The sequence below is a fragment of the Homo sapiens genome, chromosome 19, assembly GCF_000001405.40.
Source record: "Homo sapiens chromosome 19, GRCh38.p14 Primary Assembly".
NCBI lineage: Eukaryota > Metazoa > Chordata > Mammalia > Primates > Hominidae > Homo > Homo sapiens.
In genome coordinates this window covers 52,837,644-52,858,569 of record NC_000019.10, presented here as the reverse complement: position 1 = coordinate 52,858,569, position 20,926 = coordinate 52,837,644, and the positions used below count along the sequence as shown (strand labels likewise).

General features: G+C 44.4%; 1 protein-coding gene across 7 annotated transcripts, besides 1 other annotated feature; it reads left to right on the top strand.

Moving 5' to 3' along the window:
- The first annotated feature begins 950 nt into the window (after positions 1-950).
- ZNF468 (zinc finger protein 468) lies at positions 951-20,560 on the top strand. Of its 7 annotated transcripts, none has more exons than NR_102300.2 (6): positions 951-998; positions 4,225-4,312; positions 4,463-4,698; positions 9,357-9,483; positions 13,274-13,391; positions 16,419-20,560. NR_102300.2 is itself a non-coding variant. In NM_001277120.2 (5 exons), the coding sequence occupies exons 2-5, from the start codon at positions 4,298-4,300 to the stop codon at positions 16,540-16,542; spliced, it is 384 nt and encodes a 127-aa protein (NP_001264049.1). In that variant the 5' UTR covers positions 951-998; positions 4,225-4,297; the 3' UTR covers positions 16,543-20,560. The 7 variants fall into 7 exon arrangements, 4 of the variants coding, with proteins under 4 accessions (NP_001264049.1, NP_001008801.1, XP_047295570.1 ...); NR_102299.2 differs by having other exon boundaries at positions 4,444-4,698; NR_102301.2 differs by lacking the exon at positions 13,274-13,391 and having other exon boundaries at positions 4,444-4,698.
- Positions 1,273-1,352: an enhancer, noted in NCBI's record as "active region_15057". NCBI's record gives its function as "activates an Ori minimal core promoter by ATAC-STARR-seq in GM12878 lymphoblastoid cells {active_cell/tissue: GM12878}" and the evidence as "EXISTENCE:reporter gene assay evidence [ECO:0000049][PMID:35858748]".
- Positions 20,561-20,926: the final 366 nt, after the last annotated feature.

Here is a 20,926-nt window from a genome sequence, read left to right as displayed (position 1 = left end):
CAAATTTAGTTTGTTTATTTATTTTTAGAGAGGGAGTCTGGCTCTGTCGCCCAGGCTGGAGTGCAGTGGCTCGGTCTCGGCCCACTGCAAGCTCCACCTCCCATGTTCACCGCATTCTCCTGCCTCAGCCTCCTGAGTAGCTGGGACTACAGGCGCCCGCCACCACGCCCGGCTAATTTTTGTATTTTTAGTGGAGACGGGGTTTCATCGTGTAAGCCAGGATGGTCGCGATCTCCTGACCTCGTGATCCGCCCGCCTCAGCCTCCCAAAGTGCTGGGATTACAGGCGTGAGTCACCGTGCCCGGCCTAATAAAAATTTTATTTTAAAAATTTAAAAAAGAGAGAGACTGCGGGAGGGAATGTTACATTGTCGCGCAGGCTGTCCTGGACCCCCAGGCTGAGCGATCCTCCCGCCGCTGCTTCCTGAGTAGCTGGGACCTCAGGCTCCCACGCCCGCATCCCTGCTGTGTTTAAGCAGCAGGTGGTGACCTCACTCCTCCCTGGCCTGAGCACTCCGTCTGGCATCCCAGGCTGTGGCCCTAGGGATGTCTCTGAAGCTGAGCACTGGGTGGACTCTCCCTCCTGAGTGAATGGAGAATAGAAAGGGAGAAGATTTCTATACTGTCCTGTGGGCCATCAGCATGAAATCCTACGTTCCGCCCAGAAAGGGCTTTGCATTTTACATTCTAGTTTGCATCCTCCTTCCAGACTATTCCAGGGCTTTTGAATTATCCGTCTGCCTTCCTGGGGGCTCTCGCCGCCAAAACCCGGAGAACGGGTTGGGAGGAGGCTGAGAGATGCACAGGTCCCGCTCCGGCCCCGCCCTCTGCGGGTTCTAAAGGGCAAGGTCTCGCCGCTTCGCGCCCCGCCCACACCTCACCCGGGCCCCGCTCGCCTCCTCGTTGGCTCCACCCAGGCCTGGTTTCTGTCCTGCGCGCGCAGATTCGCGCAGACCAGGAAGTGGATCCCGTGGAATGACGGTCACGCCGCGGCGGGCGGTGAGTTTTGCTCTGTGTGGTGTTAAGTCTGAGCTTCCCAGGTCCCCGGCACTTCTGTACATGGGATGTGGGGTCCCCATAGACCTGGAAGTTCTCGCCTTTCTTCCTTCACTCAGAGCAAATGGAGATGTTCTACTGGGAGTCCGGAAGCCCCTTCTTTTTAGGTTTAAAGTCGCCCTGAGGCTGGTCCCGTCCCGGGTCTTTCTGCCATAGGGCAATGTATACGTTTCCTATCGCGTAGTTTTCCTGCTCAAAACCGTTTTTTGACTCCTTCCGCACGGCTCTTTTTAAAGTCCTCACCCTAGAGGTGTATTCCCACCCTGTGCGCCTCCCAGCCTTACTCTCCTGGGTTCCTGGAGCACAGCGCGGCGACCCCAGTCCCGGGAAGGCTGCGTTCTGTGGTCCTGGGATCCTGCGGATCCCACCCTTGTCCGAAGGCGTCGTCGCTCCCCACCTCCCTCCTCCTCTTGCTGGGCCCTGCTGCTCCCCAGATCTCCCCTCCGCAGTCACCGCGTCCCCTGAGCCCTCGTTGGAGAGGTGCCTGGGGCTTGTCCTGTGACGCGGGGTGTTCTTGCCCGCCCAGCTCCAGCACTTGGAAAATGCGCTTCTCCGAGATGCAGGCGTCTTACTCCAAACCCTCTTGTGATCGTGTGGGCCAAAGGGATCAGGAGACAGAGAGAGGGACTGAGAGAGCAGTAGAAAACCTGAGACAGAGAAAAGAAGAATGAGAAAGACCCATAACAGATGGCAAAGTAGAGGATGGGTGAGGGATTTGCCAAGAGACAGCAAAAGTGATAAAAGATAAGAAAGCAGGAGGAGAAAAGCAACTGGAGAAATGTAGAGAAAAGCTAGATGTACAGAGAGATGAAGGACAGCAAGGTAGGGAGAGGGGCAGAAATGTGGAGGCTCATCAGAGTGAGGGAGAGGAGGAGGGATGTGGAGCCGGGTCAGACAGAGCAGAGTGGTGCTGGTGGCAAGGAGAACAGAGGGAGAAGCACAGCGGGGAGGACACCTGGGGATCTGGGGTGCCAGATTGGGTCCAGGGGGTTATAACAGAGAAGAGAGAATTTAACAGGGAGAGCAGAGGAGGCGCATAGATGGGAGAAGAGGCAGAAATCTATGGAGATTGAGGACGATCTAAAGATTGGGGAGAAGGACCAACAGGAGGTTAAATAAGTTGCAAGGATGGAGCCCAGCTAATTTTTGTATTTCTAGTAGAGATAGGGTTTCACCATGTTGGCCAGGTTGGTCTCAAACTCCTGACCTCAGGTAATCCACCCACCTCCACCTCCCAAAGTGCTGGAATTACAGGTGTGAACCACCTCAGCTGTCCACCCATGTATTTCTTGATTGAAATAATTTGCTTATGTCTTGGTTCTACAGCTGACCCTGTTTCCCTGTTTTCAAGGTCAAGAGCTGTGTGTTTACACTGCTGCATTTTATAAATGTTAGTGTGATTTTCTTGTAAGGAAGAATTCAATGTTGGGAGTCAATTTCATCAGAACCTTTCAAAAGAATTTTCTTTAACCCAGGCATGTGAAAAATGCTTCTCTAATTTTAAGAATGGGATGATAAGACCAACCCATCCCATTAGCCCTTCCAGGCCCCCATGTAAGAATTCAGGCACACCTTCTCACTCATCTCAGACCTTCTCAGGGTAACTTCGTGAAAATGTTTCCAGCTCTGAGCCCCAGTGAACCTCCCTGCATCTTTGCGACGAAGGGCTAGACCAGAAAAGCTCAACCTGAGTGATCCTGACCCCTGAAATGATTGGCAAAATAGAGGCGGTGTCTGGGTGTGGCTTTTTTTCTGGTAGAGGAGAGTGCCCAGTTGTAATTAGAATTTTCAGTGGGATGCAGTACCCCAAAAATGAAAAAAAAAAAAGCAGAAGAATGGAAGAAACAGAGCGGTAGACTCAGAAACAGAGAGGATCTTTGGAGGCCTTTGTCTGTATTAGAATATCACAGCTACATCTAAAGCAGGTCATGTCAGTGCCTGGCAGGGAACCCTCCACCTGCTTCCCGTGTTCCCCAGGACAAAAGCCCGACTCTTCACTTTGGCTCCACAGCCCTGTGTTCAGGGTCCCTGCCAGTGTCCAGCCTCCTCCTGGGAGCTTACCCTCATCTGACTCCCTCTGCCCCAGTCACATTTGCTTTTCTCTTTTTTCAAACATCAAAATCCTTCCTGTCTCAGGTTGTTGTCCCTGCTCTTATTCAATGTTTCTAAATGAAGATGGCACTGTCCCTTTCTCCTTCAGGTCTAGGCTCAGAGCTGTCTCCCATGCCCTCCCACCCCCATCTGAAGTTCCCTCTACCCATCAGTGTCTATGGCATTACTCAAGTCTTCTTATCTCTGTGTCAATCCCATCAGAAATGCACTTTTTTTTTTTTTTTCAAACAGACTCTCACTCTGTCCTCCGGGCTGTGAGTGCAGTCTTGTGATCTTGGCTCACTGCAACCTGTATCTCCTGGGTTCAAGCAATTCTTGTGCCTCAGCCTCCCAAGTAGCTAAGATTACAGGTGTGTGCCACCACACCCTGCTAATTTTGTATTTGTATTTTATTTTATTTTTGAGTCTTACTCTGTCACCCAGGCAGGAGTGCAGTGGCGCGATCTCGGGTCGCGCAGGTTCAAGCAGTTCTCCTACCTCAGCCTCCCGAGTAGCTGGGATTAGAGATACCCACCAATCTCGGCTACTTTTTGTATTTTTAGTAGAGACAGGGTGTCACCATGTTGGCCAGGCTGCTCTTGAACTCCTGACCTCAAGTAATCCACCCACCTTGGCCTTTCAGAGTGCTAGTATTACAGGCATGAGCCAATGTGCCCGGCCCAATTTTTGTATTTTTAGTAGAGACAGGCTTTCACCATGTTGGCCAGGCTAGTCTCAAACTTTTGAGCTCAAATGATGCTTCCACATCAGCTTCCTAAGTAGCTGGGACCACAGACACACAGATGCGTACCACCATACCTGGCTAAGTTTTTGTATTTTTGGTAGAGATTTCCTGAAGGGGAGCTCATCCCAGCCCAGCTCCCCACTGCTGCAGCGTGTGTGTGGGCTTCTCCAGGAGGAGAGTGGGAGTTTTCCTGTAGGAATTTTTTGTTCATTGTGCAGTGGGCAGCAGAGGGGACCGTATTTCCCAGGGTGAGGTCTCCTATGTTTGTGTCATTGTGTTAAGGGAGGGGGTGTGTTGATTCTGAGTGATAAACAACATATTTTTAACATTCAGGATTGACTTCTAAAGACTGTTGGTACGTGAGAAAGAAACCCAGAAGAGGAAGAGGAAAGCAAAGGAGTCAGGGATGGCTCTTCCTCAGGTGAGATGATATCCTCGGTGGATTGTTCTGTCTCCTTCCTTTCAGATACCCTGGGCCTTGGAGTTGGGAATGTCTGGGTCTGAATGACCTGCCTGACATGTTTGCTCACCCTCACTTATGCCTTCCTTCAGTCCCTCTCATCTCGCTTAGGTTCCGTCTCTCGTGACCCAGTGTCATGAACTTGGGAAGAGGCTGCACTGGGCAGGTCCTGGGAAGGGCTCACACCCCGACATGGATGGACACGGGGTGAGGGTCCTGTGGTGTCAGTGCTCTTGGGCAGCAGGGATTGTTCAGGGGCCACATCTGGATGCACTGTCAGCTCACTGTGGACCAGGATTGGAGCAGCTGCCAATGGGAGTCACGTATTAATATGCACGAAGTACGTGGTAAGTTCTAGAAAAGGAGACCAATAAGGGAAAATCTTTTCTCCCTGATTTTATACCACATTTTTAGGTAATGGAGTGAGTTACTGTGTTTCTGACTCCAAAAATCTTACTAATTAGAATGGAAAGTTCATACATAGACATGAATAATTCATGAATCATTCCTTCATTATTATTATTTTTTGAGATGGAGTTTCGCTCTGTTACCCAGGCTGGAGTGCAATGGCGCGATCTCAACTCACCGCAACCTCCGCCTCCTGGGTTCAAGTGATTCTCCTGCCTCAGCCCACCTAGTAGCTGGGGTTATAGGTGTGCACCACCACGCCCAGCTAATTTTTTTGTATTTTTAGTAGAAACAGCGTTTCAGCATGCTGGCCAGGCTGGCCTCAACCTCCTAACCTCAGGTGGTCTGCCCGCCTCGGCCCCCCAGTGTGTTGGGATTACAAGCGCAAGCCATCATGCCCAGCCCCACCAGTTATTATTAAATATAAATGGTTATATTTCACCATCACATGATATATATATTTGTTTTGTGGTAAAACTCCAAGCAAAGCTGCAGCTTAGACCCTTGGCCATAAGACATCTCCTTTCCCTGTCACATCCTCCACCCTCCTTCCAGCCTCACTGGGGAGCCACTCCTGTCAGTTCTGTGTTAGCTGTCAGAGCAAGTCTCGTACACGTGTATTTCTGCATCGTTATGAGACTTTAAAAAAAATTCTGGGCCACGCGCGGTGGCTCACACCTGTAATCCCAGCACTTTGGGAGGCTGAGGTGGGTGGATCACAAGGTCAGGAGATCAAGATCATCCTGGCTAACATGGTGAAACCCTGTCTCTATTAAAAAATACAAAAAATTAGCCGGGTGTGGTGGTGGGCACCTGTAGTCCCAGCTACTTGGGAGGCTGAGGCAGGAGAATGACTTGAACCTCGGAGGCAGAGCTTGCAGTGAGCTGAGATTGCACCACTGCACTCCAGCCTGGGCAACAGAGGAAGACTCCATCTTAAAAAAAAAAATTCCATTGTAAATTAAAAAAAAATTTTATATATTTTTTTACTTTACTTTTGGGGCTATGTGTGAAGGCTTGTTACAGAGGTAAACTCACGTCATTGGAGTTTGTTGTACCAATTATTTCATCACTCCGGTATCAAGTCCAGTACCCAATAGTTATTTTTGTTTTATTTGCTTTATTTATTTTTTTTGAGATGGAGTCTCACTCTGTCACCCAGGCTGGAGTGCAGTGGTGTGATCTCGGCTCACTGCAACATCCGCCTCTTGGGTTCAAGCATTTCTCTGCCTCAGCCTCCTGAATAGCTGGGATTGCAGGCACCCGCCACCATGCCCAGCTAATTTTTTTTGTATTTTTACTAGAGACGGTGTTTCACCACCTTGGCCAGGTTGGTATTGAATGCCTGACCTCGTGATCCACCTGCCTCAACCTCCAAAAGTGTTGAGATTACAGGCGTGAGCCACCATGCCTGGCTGTTATTTTTGTAAAAATTTATTTTTTTGAGACTGAGTTTTGCTCTTGTTGCCCAGGTTGGAGTATAATGGCATGATCTCGGCTCACTGAAACCTCTGCCTCCTGGGTTCAAGTGAGTCTCCTGCCTCAGACTCTCAAGTAGCTGGGATTACAGGTGCCAGCCACCATGCCTGGCTAATTTTTGTATTTTTAGTAAAGACAGAGTTTCACCATGTTGGCCAGGCTGGTGTTGAATTCCTGTCCTCAGGTGATCCACCTGCCTCAGCCTCCCAAAGTGCTGAGATTACAAGTGTGAGCCACTGTGCCCGGGCCCGATAGTTATTTTTTCTGCTCCTCTCTTTCCTCCCACTGCCAAAGTATCCTTTCCCCCAAGGCGAGATTCCTCTTCAGTTAAACAAATCTTGCTACTTTTGTATTTTTAAAACCTTTATATATAAATAAATATATACATACATACATACACACACATCTATACATATACATGCATATATACAAACACATATATTTTGAAAATCTGGGGAAAATGACAACCCTTTTTCTTAACATCTAATTTCTTGTGAGTCTGTGTAGGTTTTATTATTTTTTGGGCATATATATACAAAACAGATTTTTGTACTTTGAGTAATTCTGTTTTCATATATTTTATTTCATTTTGAGAGAAGGTCTCACTCTGTTGCCCAGGCTGGAGTGCAGTGGCGTGATCTTAGCGCACTGCAACCTCCACCCTCAGGCTCAAGAAGCCATCCTGACCTCTGCCTCTGAGGTAGCAGGGACCACAGGTGGGTGCCACCATGCCTGATTAATTTTAATTTTTATTTTTTGAGCGAAATCTTGCTCTGCAGCCCAGGCTGGAGTTCAGTGGTGTTCTCGGCTCACTGCAACCTCTGCCTTCCCAGTTCAAGCAGTTTTCCTGCCTCAGGCTCCTGAGTAGCTGGGAATACAGGCGAGTGCCACCACACCTGAATAATTTTTTGGTATTTTCAGTAGCGACAGGGTTTCACCTTTTTAGCCAAGATGGTTTCCATTTCCTAACCTCGTGATATGCCCACCTCAGCCTCCTAAAGTGTTGAAAGTACAGGCGTGAGCCACCTCACCCAGCTTTTTTGTTTGTTTGTTTCTTTTTGAGACAAATTCTCAGTTGCCCAGGCTGGAGTGCAGTGGCACGATCTCAGATCACTGCAACCTCTGCCTCCCAAGTTCCAGTGATTCTCCTGTTTTAGCCTTTCAGGTAGCTGGGATTATAGTCACGTGCCATCACCCGTGGCTAATTTTTTTTGTATTTTTAGAAGAGACAGTGTTTCACCATTTTGGCCATGCTGGTCTTGAACTCCCGACCTCAGGTGATCTGTCTGCTTCAGTCGCACAGAATTCTGGGATTACAGACACGAGTCACCATACCCAGCCCCACCAATTATTATTAAATATATATTGTTATATTTATCATCACATGATGTGTGTGTGTATATATATATATATTTATTATTATTTTTATTTTCAAGACGGAGTCTCGCTCTGTCGCCCAGGCTGGAGTGCAGTGGCGCGATCTCGGCTCACTGCAAGCTCCACCTCCCGGGTTCACGCCATTCTCCTGCCTCAGCCTCCCGAGTAGCTGGGACTACAGGCGCCCGCCACCACGCCCGGCTAATTTTTTGTATTTTTAGTAGAGATGGGGTTTCACCGTGTTAGCCAGGATGGTCTCGATCTCCTGACCTCGTGATCCGCCCACCTCGGCCTCCCAAAGTGCTGGGATTACAGGCGTGAGCCACCGCGCCCGGCCCATAATAGTTATTTTTTGTGCTCCTCTCCTTCCTCCCCGCTCCACCCTCAAGTAGACTGCAGTGTCTGTTGTTTTCTTCTTTGTGTCCCAGTAAATATTTTACTTTGATATTTGATTTTGCTAATTGTGAATTTACATGTTGTCATGTTAGTGAACATGGCTAGCTTGCTTTTTGACATCTGCATTGGAAATTGGCTGAATGACAACACGTGGGTCCTTTGCGATTTTTCCCTGTATAAAGAGTGCCATAGTGGCTGCCTCTGTGCACACCCGCATTACTACAGATATCTGAAGATTCCTCCAGGTCAGGCAGTTGAAAGGGTGATTACTGCTTCTAGGATGGGGCATTTCCATATTCTTAGATCTGACAAGATTCCCCCTGCCCACAACTGCCAAAGTATCCTTTTCCAGCAAGATGAGATTCCTCTTTCATTAAACAAAACTTGCTACTTTTTATATTTTTAAAAACTTTATATATGTACATACACATCCCCACACACATGCACACACATATACATATAAATACATATATACACATATGTATATATTTTGAAAATCTTTTGTATTTTGAAAATCTGGGACAAATGACAACCCTTTGTATTCACATCTAGTGTTTTGTGAGTCTCTGTAGGTTTTATTATTTTGTGAACATATATATACACGATTGATTTTTGTACTTTGAGTAATTTTGTTTTCATTTATTTTATTTTATTTTGAGACGGGGTCTTGCTTTGTTGCCCAGGCTTGAGTGCCCTGGCGGGATTGCAGCTCACTGCAACCTCCACCCTCAGGGTCAAGCCATCCTACCTCTTTACCCTTCCAAGTAGCTGGGACCACAGGTGCTTGCCGTCACACCTGGCTAATTTTTTTTTTTTTTTTTTTGAGATGGAGTTTCTGTTGCCCAGGCTGGAGTGCAGTGATGCGATCTGGGATCACTGCAACCTGTGCCTTCCAGGATCAAGTGATTCTCCTGCCTCAGCTTCCTGCATAGCTGGGATTACAGACATGTGTCACTGTGCCCAGCCTATCTTTTACTGTGGACGTTGTCATCTTTTAAGATATCAGTTGTGCTCTGTCTCATCTAGATAATGAATGTCACTTGGTGTGTCTATAAAAGTTTCAAACATTTTTATAACAGGAACCCTACATTGATTTTTTATTTGTTTATTTCTGTTATTTTTCACAAACATAAGAAATTTATACTGAGAGTATGTCTTGATAATACTCAAAAAGTGTAATAAAATACATCTGGGGAGACATCATGTAGTGAGAAATCCCTTATTTGGATTTGTCAGAACATTCTCTACAGTTAAATCCATGCTTTCCCCTCTCTCCTCCTCTCATTTTTTGTAAAGATAAGATCTCCTCCCATAACCATTTGGTTAAAATGTGTTTTCATTTCAGGGTCTATTGACATTCAGGGACGTGGCCATAGAATTCTCTCAGGAGGAGTGGAAATGCCTGGACCCTGCTCAGAGGACTTTATACAGGGACGTGATGCTGGAGAATTATAGGAACCTCGTCTCCCTGGGTGAGGATAACTTCCCTCCTGGGGATGTGCCCTTGTGTATTTTTGCATTTTCTCTTATTGTCTCTTAGGAACCCCATTGTTCCTTGACTAAAATGGAAGCCATATTGATTTTGAAATGAAAAGCTTCATGATGTAGCATCTGGACTTTCACTGTCCCCTTTGTTTAGATGTTCTGCATTCTTCATGATAGCTCAGTGGGGGTTCCAGAAGTAAAGTAAGCATAAAACCTTATGGCAGCCTGGTCGTGGTGGCTCACACCTGTCATCCCAGTACCTTGGGAGGCCAAGGCATGTGGATCACTATGGGTGAGGAGTTCGAGACCAGCATGATCAACATGGAGAAACCCCTTCTCTACTAAAAATACAAAAATTAGCTGGGTGTGGTGGCACGTACGTGTAATCCCAGCTCCTAGAGAGGCTGAGTAAAGAGAATCACTTAAACCCAGGAGGCCAAGGTTGCAGTGAGTGGAGAACACACTGCTGCACTCCAGCCTGGGTGACAGAGCAAGACTCTGTCTCAAAAAACAAAAACAAAACCTTATGGCAGACTTTAAAGATATCCAGTTTCCTGTTTGCTTCTCCTATGCTTTTGACTCAGTATTCTTGGAAGAGAGCTTGATGTCCACATATTACATATTACAGTGCTCCCTCAGCATTCAGAAGGAGGCAGTAGGTGGAGCAATTTGTGAACTGTTTTCCTAGATCCTTTGGTAATGTCTTCTTTCCTACTGAAACCTAGGGCTGGGACTCTACGAAAGCTCCAGCACTTTATGGTCCTTGCTTTTTATAAGCAGGAGTCTCTTTCTGACCTGTTATCTCCATATTGGAGCAAAGGAAAAGCCCTGGACTGTGGAGAGTGAAGTGAAAATAGCAAAAAAAATCCAGATGGGTGGGAATGTATTACAGGTGTAAATGCAGGTAAGAGCTCAGATGGGCAGAGTGGAAGTTCCACCTTCAAATAGTGTGTGAGGAAACTCTGCAAGTGGGAGAATTCTGTGGGAAAAGGAAAGTTTAATTTTTCACATCTCTGAATGGACATCTTTCTGAAGGGCGCCAGCCCCTCCATACCTGTGGGTATTTCTCGTCAGGTGGGATGAGAAACTCAGAAAAGAAATAAGACACAGAGACAAAGTTTAGAGAAAGAACAGTGGGCCCATGGGGCTAGCACACTCAGCATGCGAGAACCTGCATCGGTGCCAGTCTCTTGAGTTCCCTCAGTATTTATTGATCATTATTTTTACTATCTTAGCAAGGGGAGTGTAGCAGGGCAACAGGTGGGGAGAAGGTCAGCAGGGAAACATGTGAGCAAAGGAATTTGTATCATGAATAAGTTCAAGGAAAGGTACTGTGTCTGGATGTGCACGTAGGCTAGATTTATGTTTCTCTTCACACAAACATCTCAGTGTAGGAAAGAGTAACAGAGCAGTATTGCTGCCAGCATATCTCGCCTCCAGCCATGGGGTGCTTTCCTCCTATCTCAGAAGAGAATGAATGGGAATGGTCGGCTTTACACCGAGACATTCCATTCCCAGGGATGAACAGGAGACAGAAGCCTTCCTTTTATCTCAACTGCAAAGAGGCCTCCCTCTTTCACTACTCCTCCTCAGCACAGGCTCTTTACAGGTGTCAGGCGGGGGGATGTAAGGTCTTTCCTTTCCCATGAGGCCATATCTCAGGCTGTCTCAGTGGGGGGAAACTTGGACAATACCCAGGCTTTCTAGGGCAGAGGTCCCTGCGGCTTTCCGCAGTGCATTGTGTCCCTGGTTAACTGAGAATGGAGAATGGCATGACTTTTACCAAGCATACTGCCTGCAAACATATTGTTAACAAGGCACACCCTGCACAGCCCTAAATCCATTAAACCTTGATTCAATACAGCACATGTTTCTGTGAGCACAGGGTTGGGGCTAAAGTTACAGGTTAACAGCATCTCAAAGCGAAACAATTTTTCTTAATATAGATCAAAATGGAGTTTCTTATGTCTTCCTTTTCTACATAGACACAGTAACAATCTGAACTCTCTTTTCCCCACACTTTCTTTGCACCCACTTATCTCTCTGCTCTTACTTTCTTTCTTTCTTTTTTTTATGACAGAGTCTCACTCTGTCACCCAGGCTACAGTGCAGTGATATGATCTTGGCTAACTGCAGCCTCCGCCTCCCGGGCTCAAAGGATTCTTGTTCCCCAGATTCCTGAGTAGCTGGAACTGCAGGCGCACACCACCATGCACAGCTAATTTTTGTGTTTTTAGTAGAGGGGGGTTTCACCATGTTGGTCAGGCTGGTCTCAAACTCCTCATCTCAAGTGATCCACCTGCCTCGGATTCCCAAAGTGCTGAGATTACAGATGTAAGCTGCCATGCCTAACCATTGTTACTATTTTAAATAGTTTGGTCTTTTAGTTCTTTGTAAACATATAAGTGGTTTAAGCATGATTCCAGTGTGAATATAACAACATTAGTGTCCATTCCTTTCAGTACGTAGAAGTGAAGTGTGTTGTACAGATATTTGGGCAGAGGTTATTGTTGCAGGTATGTTAAACATCTTAAAGTTATAGCATAATAACAAAACTTAAAATTTCCATAACCTGAACGTGTGCAGTGGCTGACACCTGTAATCCTAGCACTTTCGGAGGCCGAGTTGAGCAGATCACCTGAGGTCAGGATTTCAAAACCAGCCTGGCTAACATGTGAAAACTGCAACTCTACTAAAATTACAAAAGTTAGCCAGGTGCGGTGGTGGGTGGCTGTAATCCCAGCTTCTCAGGAGGCTGAGGCAGGATAGTCACTTGAATCCGGGAGGCAGAGGTTGCGGTGAGCTGATAACACACCATCGCACTCCAGCCTGGGAGACAGAAAAAAATAAAAATCCATAACCTGCAAAAACTACTTCTTCTCCACTAGAATTTTTTTATTTATGTCAGAATTATTTCTGTGTATGTTGCATTTCCGTTAACATATATGTACAGTGTTTTTCATGCCTTTTATTTCAAATAATATGAAAAAAGTTTAGTTATGAAGAAAAGGTATACATATGCCAGTTTCTGTATCTGTCCTTTTATTAATTAATTACCTTATGTATTTATGAGATAGAGTTTTGTTCTTGTCACCCAGGCTGAAGTACAATGCTGCGATCTCAGCTCACTCCAAACTCTGCGTCTCGGGTACAACTGATTCTCCTGCCTCAGCCTCCTGAGTAGCTGGGATTACAGGCATGCGCCACCACAGCCATCTAATTTTGTGTTTTAGTAGAGACAGGGTTTTTCCTTGTTGGCCAGGCTGATCTCGAACTCCCAACCTCAGGTTATCTGCCTGACTCATCCTCCCAAAGTGCTGGGATTACAGGAATGAACGACCACACCTAGACTGTTTTTTTATTTACCTTTACTGGAGAACTTTATTTATTTAGTTAGTTAGTTAGTTAGTTTTTTGAGATGGAGTCTCACTCTCTTGCCCGGGCTGGAGTGCAGTGGTGTGATCTCAGCTCACTGTAACCTCCACCTTCTGGGTTCAAGCAGTTCTCCTTCCTCAGCCTCTCCAGTAGCTGCGACTACAGGCCTGCACCACTATACCCAGCTAATTTTTGTATTTTTAGTAGAGATGGGGTTTCACCATGTTGGTTTGCCAGGATGGTCTCGATCTCCTGACCTGGTGATCCGCCCGCCTCAGCCTCCCAAAGTGCTGGGTTTACAGGCGTGAGCCACCGCACCCTGTCTGGAGAACTTTATATAGGCTTGTTGGTTGGAGTTACTCTTTAGCCTTCTTTCATTTCTTTTTTTTTTCTCTGAGACAGAGTTTTGGTCTGTCATCCCGGCTAAAGTACAGTGGTGTCATCTCCGCTCACTGCAACCTCCACTTCCCAGGTTCAAGCAATTCTCCTGCCTCAGCCTTCCAAGTACCTGGGACTACAGGTGAGTGCCAACATGCCAGGCTAATTTTTTGTATTTTTTTAGTAGAGACGGAGTTTCAGCTTGTTAGCCAGGATGGTCTCAATCTCCTGACCTGGTGATCCTCCCGCCTCAGCCTCCCAAAATGCTGGGATTACTGGCATGAGCCACCACACTTTGCCTGTCTCAAGGTTTTTAAAACATGTTAGTGCTAGTAGATGGCTTCAAGTATTGCAAGTTTTACAGTACAGACTCTTAACTTCCTTTGTTTAATAAGATTTGTCAGCCCTTGGTGATGTTGATGATGAGATGCTCCTGTTCCTGTCTCTGTCATTTCACTGTCCTGCTAGAAATAGCTTAGACTGGCTGGCCGCGGTGGCTCACCCCTCTAATCCCAGCACTTTGGGAGGCTGCAACAGGTTGATCACTTGAGGTCAGGAGTTAGAGACAAGCCTAGCCAACATGGTGAAACCCCATCTCTACTAAAAATGCAAAAATTAGCTGTGCATGGTGGTGTGCACCTGTAATCCCAGCTACTTGGGAGGTTGAAGCAGGAGAATCACTAGAACCCTGGAGGTGGAGGTTGCAGTGAGCCAAGATCATGCCACTGCACTCCAGACTTGGCAACAGAGTGAGACCCTGGGCTGAGGAGGGAGAATCACTTGAGGTAGGAGAATCATGCCACTACACTGCATCCTGGGTGATAGAGCGTGACTCCATCTCAAAAACAAACAAAAAAGGATGTAGCTTAAACTGGCAGGCTTAAGAGACAGAAATTTATTTCTAATGAATTTGGGAAGTGGGAAATCCAAGAGCAAGGTGCCAGCCAAATTGCTTCCTGGTGAGAGCATTCTTCATGGTTTAGCCCAGCCATCTTCCTGCTGTGTCCTAATACGGTGGAAAGAGGAACAGGCAAGGACCTCTTTAATGTCCCTTTATAAATGCACTAGTCCTATTCACGAGTAGTCAACACCCATGACTAAATTCTCTCAATGTCTGCATCTGCAGGGACATCCTCTTAGAGAATACCACATCTACCAAAGCTTATTTGAGAAGTAGTTATTTATCTTATTTTATTTCTTTGAGACAAAGTCTCATCCTGTCACTGAGGCTGGAGTGCAGTGGCATGATCTCGTCTCACTGCAACCTCCGCCTCCTGGGTTCAAATGTTTCCTGCCTCAGATTCCCAAGTAGCTGGGATTACAGGCGTCTTCCTTCATGCCTGGCTGATTTTTTTGTAGTTTTAGTAGAGATGGTGTGTCGCCATGTTGTCCAGGCTGGTCTTCAACTCCTGACTTCATGATTCACCCACCTCAGCCTACCAAAATGCTGGGATTACAGGCATGTGCCACTGCACCCGGCCGCTAGTCAATTCTTGTTCCTGGTAAAGCTGTGTATTTTCTTGACCTCATATATCAGAAGGTAGTGATCTTAACATCTATTTCAGTTCTTACACTGTGTGCTGGTGATAAGTACAAGTTTTGGCTTTTTTCTTAAGAGGGAATTGTTTAGAATTCTTCAGTCTGTATAAATGTACTTATTATTTTCTTGCTTGTTTTATCATGGGTTGCAATATTTGATTAATTGATTTTTATGAATTTATATATGAGTGTTCGGTATGTGGTATGCAATATAACGGACACACTCCCCCCATTAATGTCAGAAAGTGCCACAGGGTGCAGTGGCTCACACCTGTAATCCCAGGACTTTTGGAGGCCAAGACATGTGGATCACCTGAGGTCAGGAGTTCGAGACCAGCCTGGCCAACATGGTGAAACCTGATTTCTACTAAAAATACAAAAATTAGCTGGGCATGGTGGCACATGCCTGTAATCCCAGGTGCTCAGGACCTAAGGCAAGAGACTAGCATGAACCCAGGAGGTGGAGGTTGCAGTGAGCCAAGATCGTGCCATCGCATTCCAGCCTGGGTGACAGAGTGAGACTCTATCTCAAAAAAACAAAAATACAAAAAATTTTTTAAAAAGTCACAACATAACTGTTCCACATGGATATAGGTAATTTTGTAACAGTTATTCAGAAAAATATGGTATTAACATTTTCTTTTTTTTTTTTTTTTTTTTTGAGACAGAGTCTCACTCTGTTGTCCAGGGTGGAGCAAAGTGACACAATCTCAACTCACCACAATCTTTGCCTCCCGAGTTCAAGCGATTATCATACCTCAGCCTCCCAAGGAGCTGGGATTACAGGTGCCTGTGACCATACCAGCTACTTTTTGTGTCTTTAGTAGCGACGGGGTTTCACCACATTGGCCAGGCTGGTTGAACTCCTGACCTGAGGTGATCCACCTTCCTCGGCCTCCGGAGTTACTGGGATTAGAGTCACAAGCCACCATGCCATGTCTTTTTTTTTTTTTTTTTTTTTTTTTTTGAGATGGAGTCTCATTTTGCACCAAGGCTGGAGTGGAGTGATGCAATCTTAGCTAACTGCAACCTTTGCCTTTTAGCTTAATGCAATACTTGTGACGCAGCCTCTGGAGTAGCTGGGAGTACAGGTGCTGGCCACCACACCTGGCTAATTTTTGTAATCTTCTGTTATCTTGTCAGTGCTGTGATTGTTTGACAATAGAGAATTTCCACTAATTTTGGTTATTCTTACAAGAGCTTGTTGTGGATTATTTACCAATATAGTATATTGTGTGGTTCTTTAGCATTTATTTGTATACCCTAAATACGCTGTAAATATGGAGAATATATATTTTTCTCTGATGTGACAGTGATATGTATTTTGCACAGTGTGACACACTTTAGGGTCACAGTGGAAAAACACTCCTTTCTTTAGACTCACACGTGTTTGTGCCCTGTCAGTGTTTTGTCATGATATTGGAAATAGGCTTCCATAGAAATGATTTGAAGCACATGTAATCGCCCTTTATTTATTAAAGAATCTTACTCCTTTTGTGTTCCTAAACTTTGAAGCTCACGTTTGGGAAGTTGAAAATAAGTATTGTTTTTTTTCTGTGATATTTACACATTTCAGTATTATATACCGTCTGTACTTAATTGGAAACCTATTGGTGTTTAAATTTTGTAGATATCTCTTCCAAATGCATGTTGAAGACGTTGTCGTCAACAGGGCAAGGCAATACAGAAGTGATCCACACAGGGACATTGCACAGACAAGCAAGTCATCACATTGGAGAATTTTGTTTCCATGAAATTGAGAAAGACATTCATGGCTTCGAGTTTCAGTGGAAAGAAGATGAAACAAATGGCCATGCAGCACCCATGACAGAAATCAAAGAGTTGGCTGGTAGTACAGGCCAACATGATCAAAGGCATGCTGGAAACAAGCGTATTAAAGATCAGCTTGGATCAAGCTTTCATTTGCATCTGCCTGAACCGCACATATTTCAGTCTGAAGGGAAAATTGGTAATCAAGTTGAGAAGTCTATCAACAATGCTTCCTCAGTTTCAACATCCCAAAGAATTTGTTGTAGGCCCAAAACCCATATTTCTAATAAGTATGGAAATAATTCCCTCCATTCTTCATTACTCACACAAAAATGGGAAGTACACATGAGAGAAAAATCTTTTGAATGTATACAGAGCTTCAAATCCTTTAATTGCAGCTCACTCTTAAAAAAACATCAGATAATTCACTTAGAAGAGAAACAATGTAAATGTGATGTATGTGGCAAGGTCTTTAATCAGAAGCGATACCTTGCCTGCCATCGTAGATGTCACACTGGTGAGAAACCTTACAAGTGTAATGAGTGTGGCAAGACCTTTGGTCATAATTCATCCCTCTTCATTCACAAAGCGCTTCATACTGGAGAGAAACCTTATGAATGTGAAGAATGTGACAAAGTTTTCAGTCGCAAATCACACCTTGAAAGACATAAGAGGATTCATACTGGAGAGAAACCATACAAATGTAAGGTTTGTGATGAGGCTTTCGCATATAATTCATATCTGGCAAAACATACTATACTTCACACTGGAGAGAAACCTTACACATGTAATGAATGTGGCAAAGTTTTTAATCGACTATCAACCCTTGCACGCCATCATAGACTTCATACTGGAGAGAAACCTTACAAATGTGAAGAGTGTGACAAAGTTTTCAGTCGCAAATCACACCTTGAAAGACATAGGAGGATTCATAGTGGAGAGAAACCTTACAAATGTGAAGAATGTTGCAAAGTTTTCAGTCGCAAATCAAACCTGGAAAGACACAGGAGGATTCATACTGGAGAGAAACCATACAAATGTAAGGTTTGTGACAAGGCTTTCCAGAGGGATTCACACCTGGCACAACATCAGAGAGTTCATACTGGAGAGAAACCTTACAAGTGTAATGAGTGTGGCAAGACCTTCGGTCAGACATCATCGCTTATAATCCATCGTAGGCTTCATACTGGAGAGAAACCTTACAAGTGTAATGAGTGTGGCAAGACCTTCAGTCAGATGTCATCCCTTGTATACCATCATAGGCTTCATAGTGGAGAGAAGCCTTAATAGTGTAATGAGTGTGGCAAGACCTTCCATCACAATTCAACCCTGTAAGTCATAAGGCAATTCATACTGGAGAGAAACCTTACAAGCATAATGAATGTGGCAAGGTTTTTAATCAAAAAGCAACCTTTGCACATCACCATAGACTTCATACTGGAGAGAAACCTTACAAATGGGAGGAATGTGACAAAAGTTTTCAGTTGTAAATCAAACCTTAAAACACATAAGAAAATTCACATTGAAGAGAAACCATACAGAGGTAAGGTTTGTGACAAGGTTTTTGCATATAATGCATATCTGGCAAAACATACTAGAATTCACACTGGAGAGAAACTCATTATAAGTGTAATGAGTGTGGCAAGACCGTTGGTCAAAATTCACACCTTGTAATTAAAAGGTCAAAATTCACACCTTGTAATTCATAGTGGAGAGAAACCTTACAAGCACAATGAATGTGACATGGTTTTTAATCAACAATCACACCTTGCAAGTCATCATAGACTTCATACTGCATAGAAATCTTACAAACGTGAACAATGTGACAAAGTTTTCATTCACAAATCCAGCTTCAAATACATAGGAGAATTCACACTGGAGAAAAGCCATAGAAATGTAAGGTTTGTGACAAGGCTTTCGGGAATGATTCACACGTGGCACCCCATACTAGAATTCACACTGGAGAGAAACCTTACAAGTGCAATGAGTGTGGCAAACCCTTTAGTGGGCAGTCACCACTTATTCACCATCAAGCAATCCATGGTATAGGGAAACTTGACTAATGTAATGATTGTCACAAAGTTTTCAGTAATGCTACAACCATTGCACATCATTGGAGAATCCACAGTGAAGAGATCTTACAAGTGTAATAAATGTGGCAAATTTTTCAGACATCGTTCATGCCTTGCATTTCACTGGTGAACTCATGCTGGAGAGAAACCTTATAAATGTCATGATTGAGGCAAGGTCTTCAGTCAAGCTTCATCCTATGCAAAACATAGGAGGATTCATACAGGAGAGAAACCTCACAAGTGTGATGATTGTGGCAAAGCGTTTACTTCACATTCACACCTCATTAGACATCAGAGAATCCATGCTGGACAGAAATCTTACAAATGTCATCAGTGTGGAAGGGTCTTCAGTCCAAGGTCACTCCTTGCAGACCATCAGACAATTCCTTTTGGAGACAGTTGTTTCAAATGCAGTGAGTATAGCAAACCATCAAGCATTAATTGACATTAGAGTCAAATCAGCCTTGACCTGAGTTTGTTGATTTAACATTGATTTCAAGCATTAATTGCCATTAAACTGTTTATGTTAAGAGGATTGCACTGGGGGCCATGGCTCATGCCTGTAATTCCAGCACTTTGAGAGGCAAAGACAGGTAGGTCACTGGAGCTCACGAGTTTGAGAACAGCCTAGCCAACAGATGGGAGCTACTTTTCCCAGCCTTTATTTTCTTTTTCTTGTTTTTTTTTTGAGATGGAGTCTTGCTCTGTCGCCCAGGTTGGAGTGCAGTGGCACGATCTCAGCTCACTGCAACCTCCTCCTCCCAGGTTCAAGCAATTCTCCTGCCTCAGTCTCCCAAGTAGCTGACACTACAGTTGTGTGCCACCACACCTGGGTAATTTTTTGTGTTTTTAGTAGAGACTGGGTTTCACCGTGTTAGCCAGAATGGTCTCTATCTTCTGACTTTATGATCCACCCGACTCCACCTCCCAAAGTGCTGAGATTACAGGAGTGAGCCACTGTGCCTGGCCTGTTTTTTGTTTCTTTAACAAAAAGTTATAGAGACTTCTATGAGTATTGTACCGAATCTAAATCACAATTGAGTATATAATCATTGAGCGATATTCATTTTTCCAATCAGTATGGGATTTATATCTATTTATACATGTTTTTAATCATTTTGATCAATGTTTATAGATTTCAAGGTACAAACCTCACTTTTTATGTTTATTCCTAAATATTTCTTACTTTAAGTTCTTTAGCAAATGGAATTGGTTTTTAATTTTCTTTTAAAATTATTTATTGTTAATGTATGGAAATTCAACTAATTTTTGGTGCTGTTATTCTATTCTGCAAATAAACTGAATGTGTTTGTTAGTTCCAGTTGCATTTTGGCTGACTCTTTGTGATTTTCTTTACAGAAGGTCATGTCATCTACAAACAAATAAAATTTGACTTCTTTCTTTCTGATTTGGATGAGTTTGATTTCTTTTGCTATTTCATTGTTCTGGCTAGGACAGCCAGTATTGATTGAATAGAAGGGGTGAGAGCATTCTTGCATCATGTGAGATCCTACAGGAAAAGCATTCCGTTTTCCCTGATTGGTTATTTCTGCTGTGGTCATTTCATGGATGGTCTTTGTATTGCTGAGGTAAATTTTCTTCTGTATCTATTTTGTGTGGGATTTCTATGATGACTTGATGTTGACTTTTGTGAAATGCTTTTTCTCCATGTATTGAGATGATGTGGTTTTCATCTTTCATTGTGTTCAAGTGGTATATCACATTGATTTGCTTGACTATGTTGAACCATCCTTGCATCCCAGAAATAAGTGGCACTTGCATATCTACAATCCTTTTAATATCCTCTTGAATACAGTTCGCTAGTACAAGGGGTCTTCAAGAAGTTCATGAAAAAAATACATATTATGTGAAAATTGCACATGATGTCACATTTTCTGCACCAAAATAAACTGGCACAAATCTGTTATAACATGTCTGAACAGGGTCTAGTTTGAGGCACTCAGAAGGGGAAGACATGAGTTTGAAAAAAGAAAGCAGTGTAAATTTTGCTAAAATTGAAACAAGAAGAAACATCAAATTTATGATGAGAGCAGATGCAGTGGCTCAGGCCTGTAATCCAAGCACTTTCAGAGGCCGAGACAGGTGGGTCACGTGAGCCCCGGTATTCAAGACCAGCCTGGGCAGAATGTTGAAACCCCCTTCTCTACAAAAAATACATAAATTAGCTAGGCATGGTGGCACATGCCTGCTGGTTCAGCTTCTGTGGAGACTGCAGTGGGAGGATGGCTTGAGCCTGGGAGTTAGAGGCTGTAGGGAGCCGTGATCATGCCACTGT

What these genes read in the sequence shown, in the direction of transcription:
- ZNF468 (XM_047439614.1), top strand. Translation starts at nt 4,620, where the DNA reads ATGCACTGTCAGCTCACTGTGGACCAGGATTGGAGCAGCTGCCAATGG. An exon ending in CACGTATTAATATGCACGAA is followed by an intron (nt 4,692 to 9,356) that starts GTACGTGGTAAG and finishes TTTTCATTTCAG; the next exon opens with GGTCTATTGACATTCAGGGA. An exon ending in TAGGAACCTCGTCTCCCTGG is followed by an intron (nt 9,484 to 16,418) that starts GTGAGGATAACT and finishes TAAATTTTGTAG; the next exon opens with ATATCTCTTCCAAATGCATG.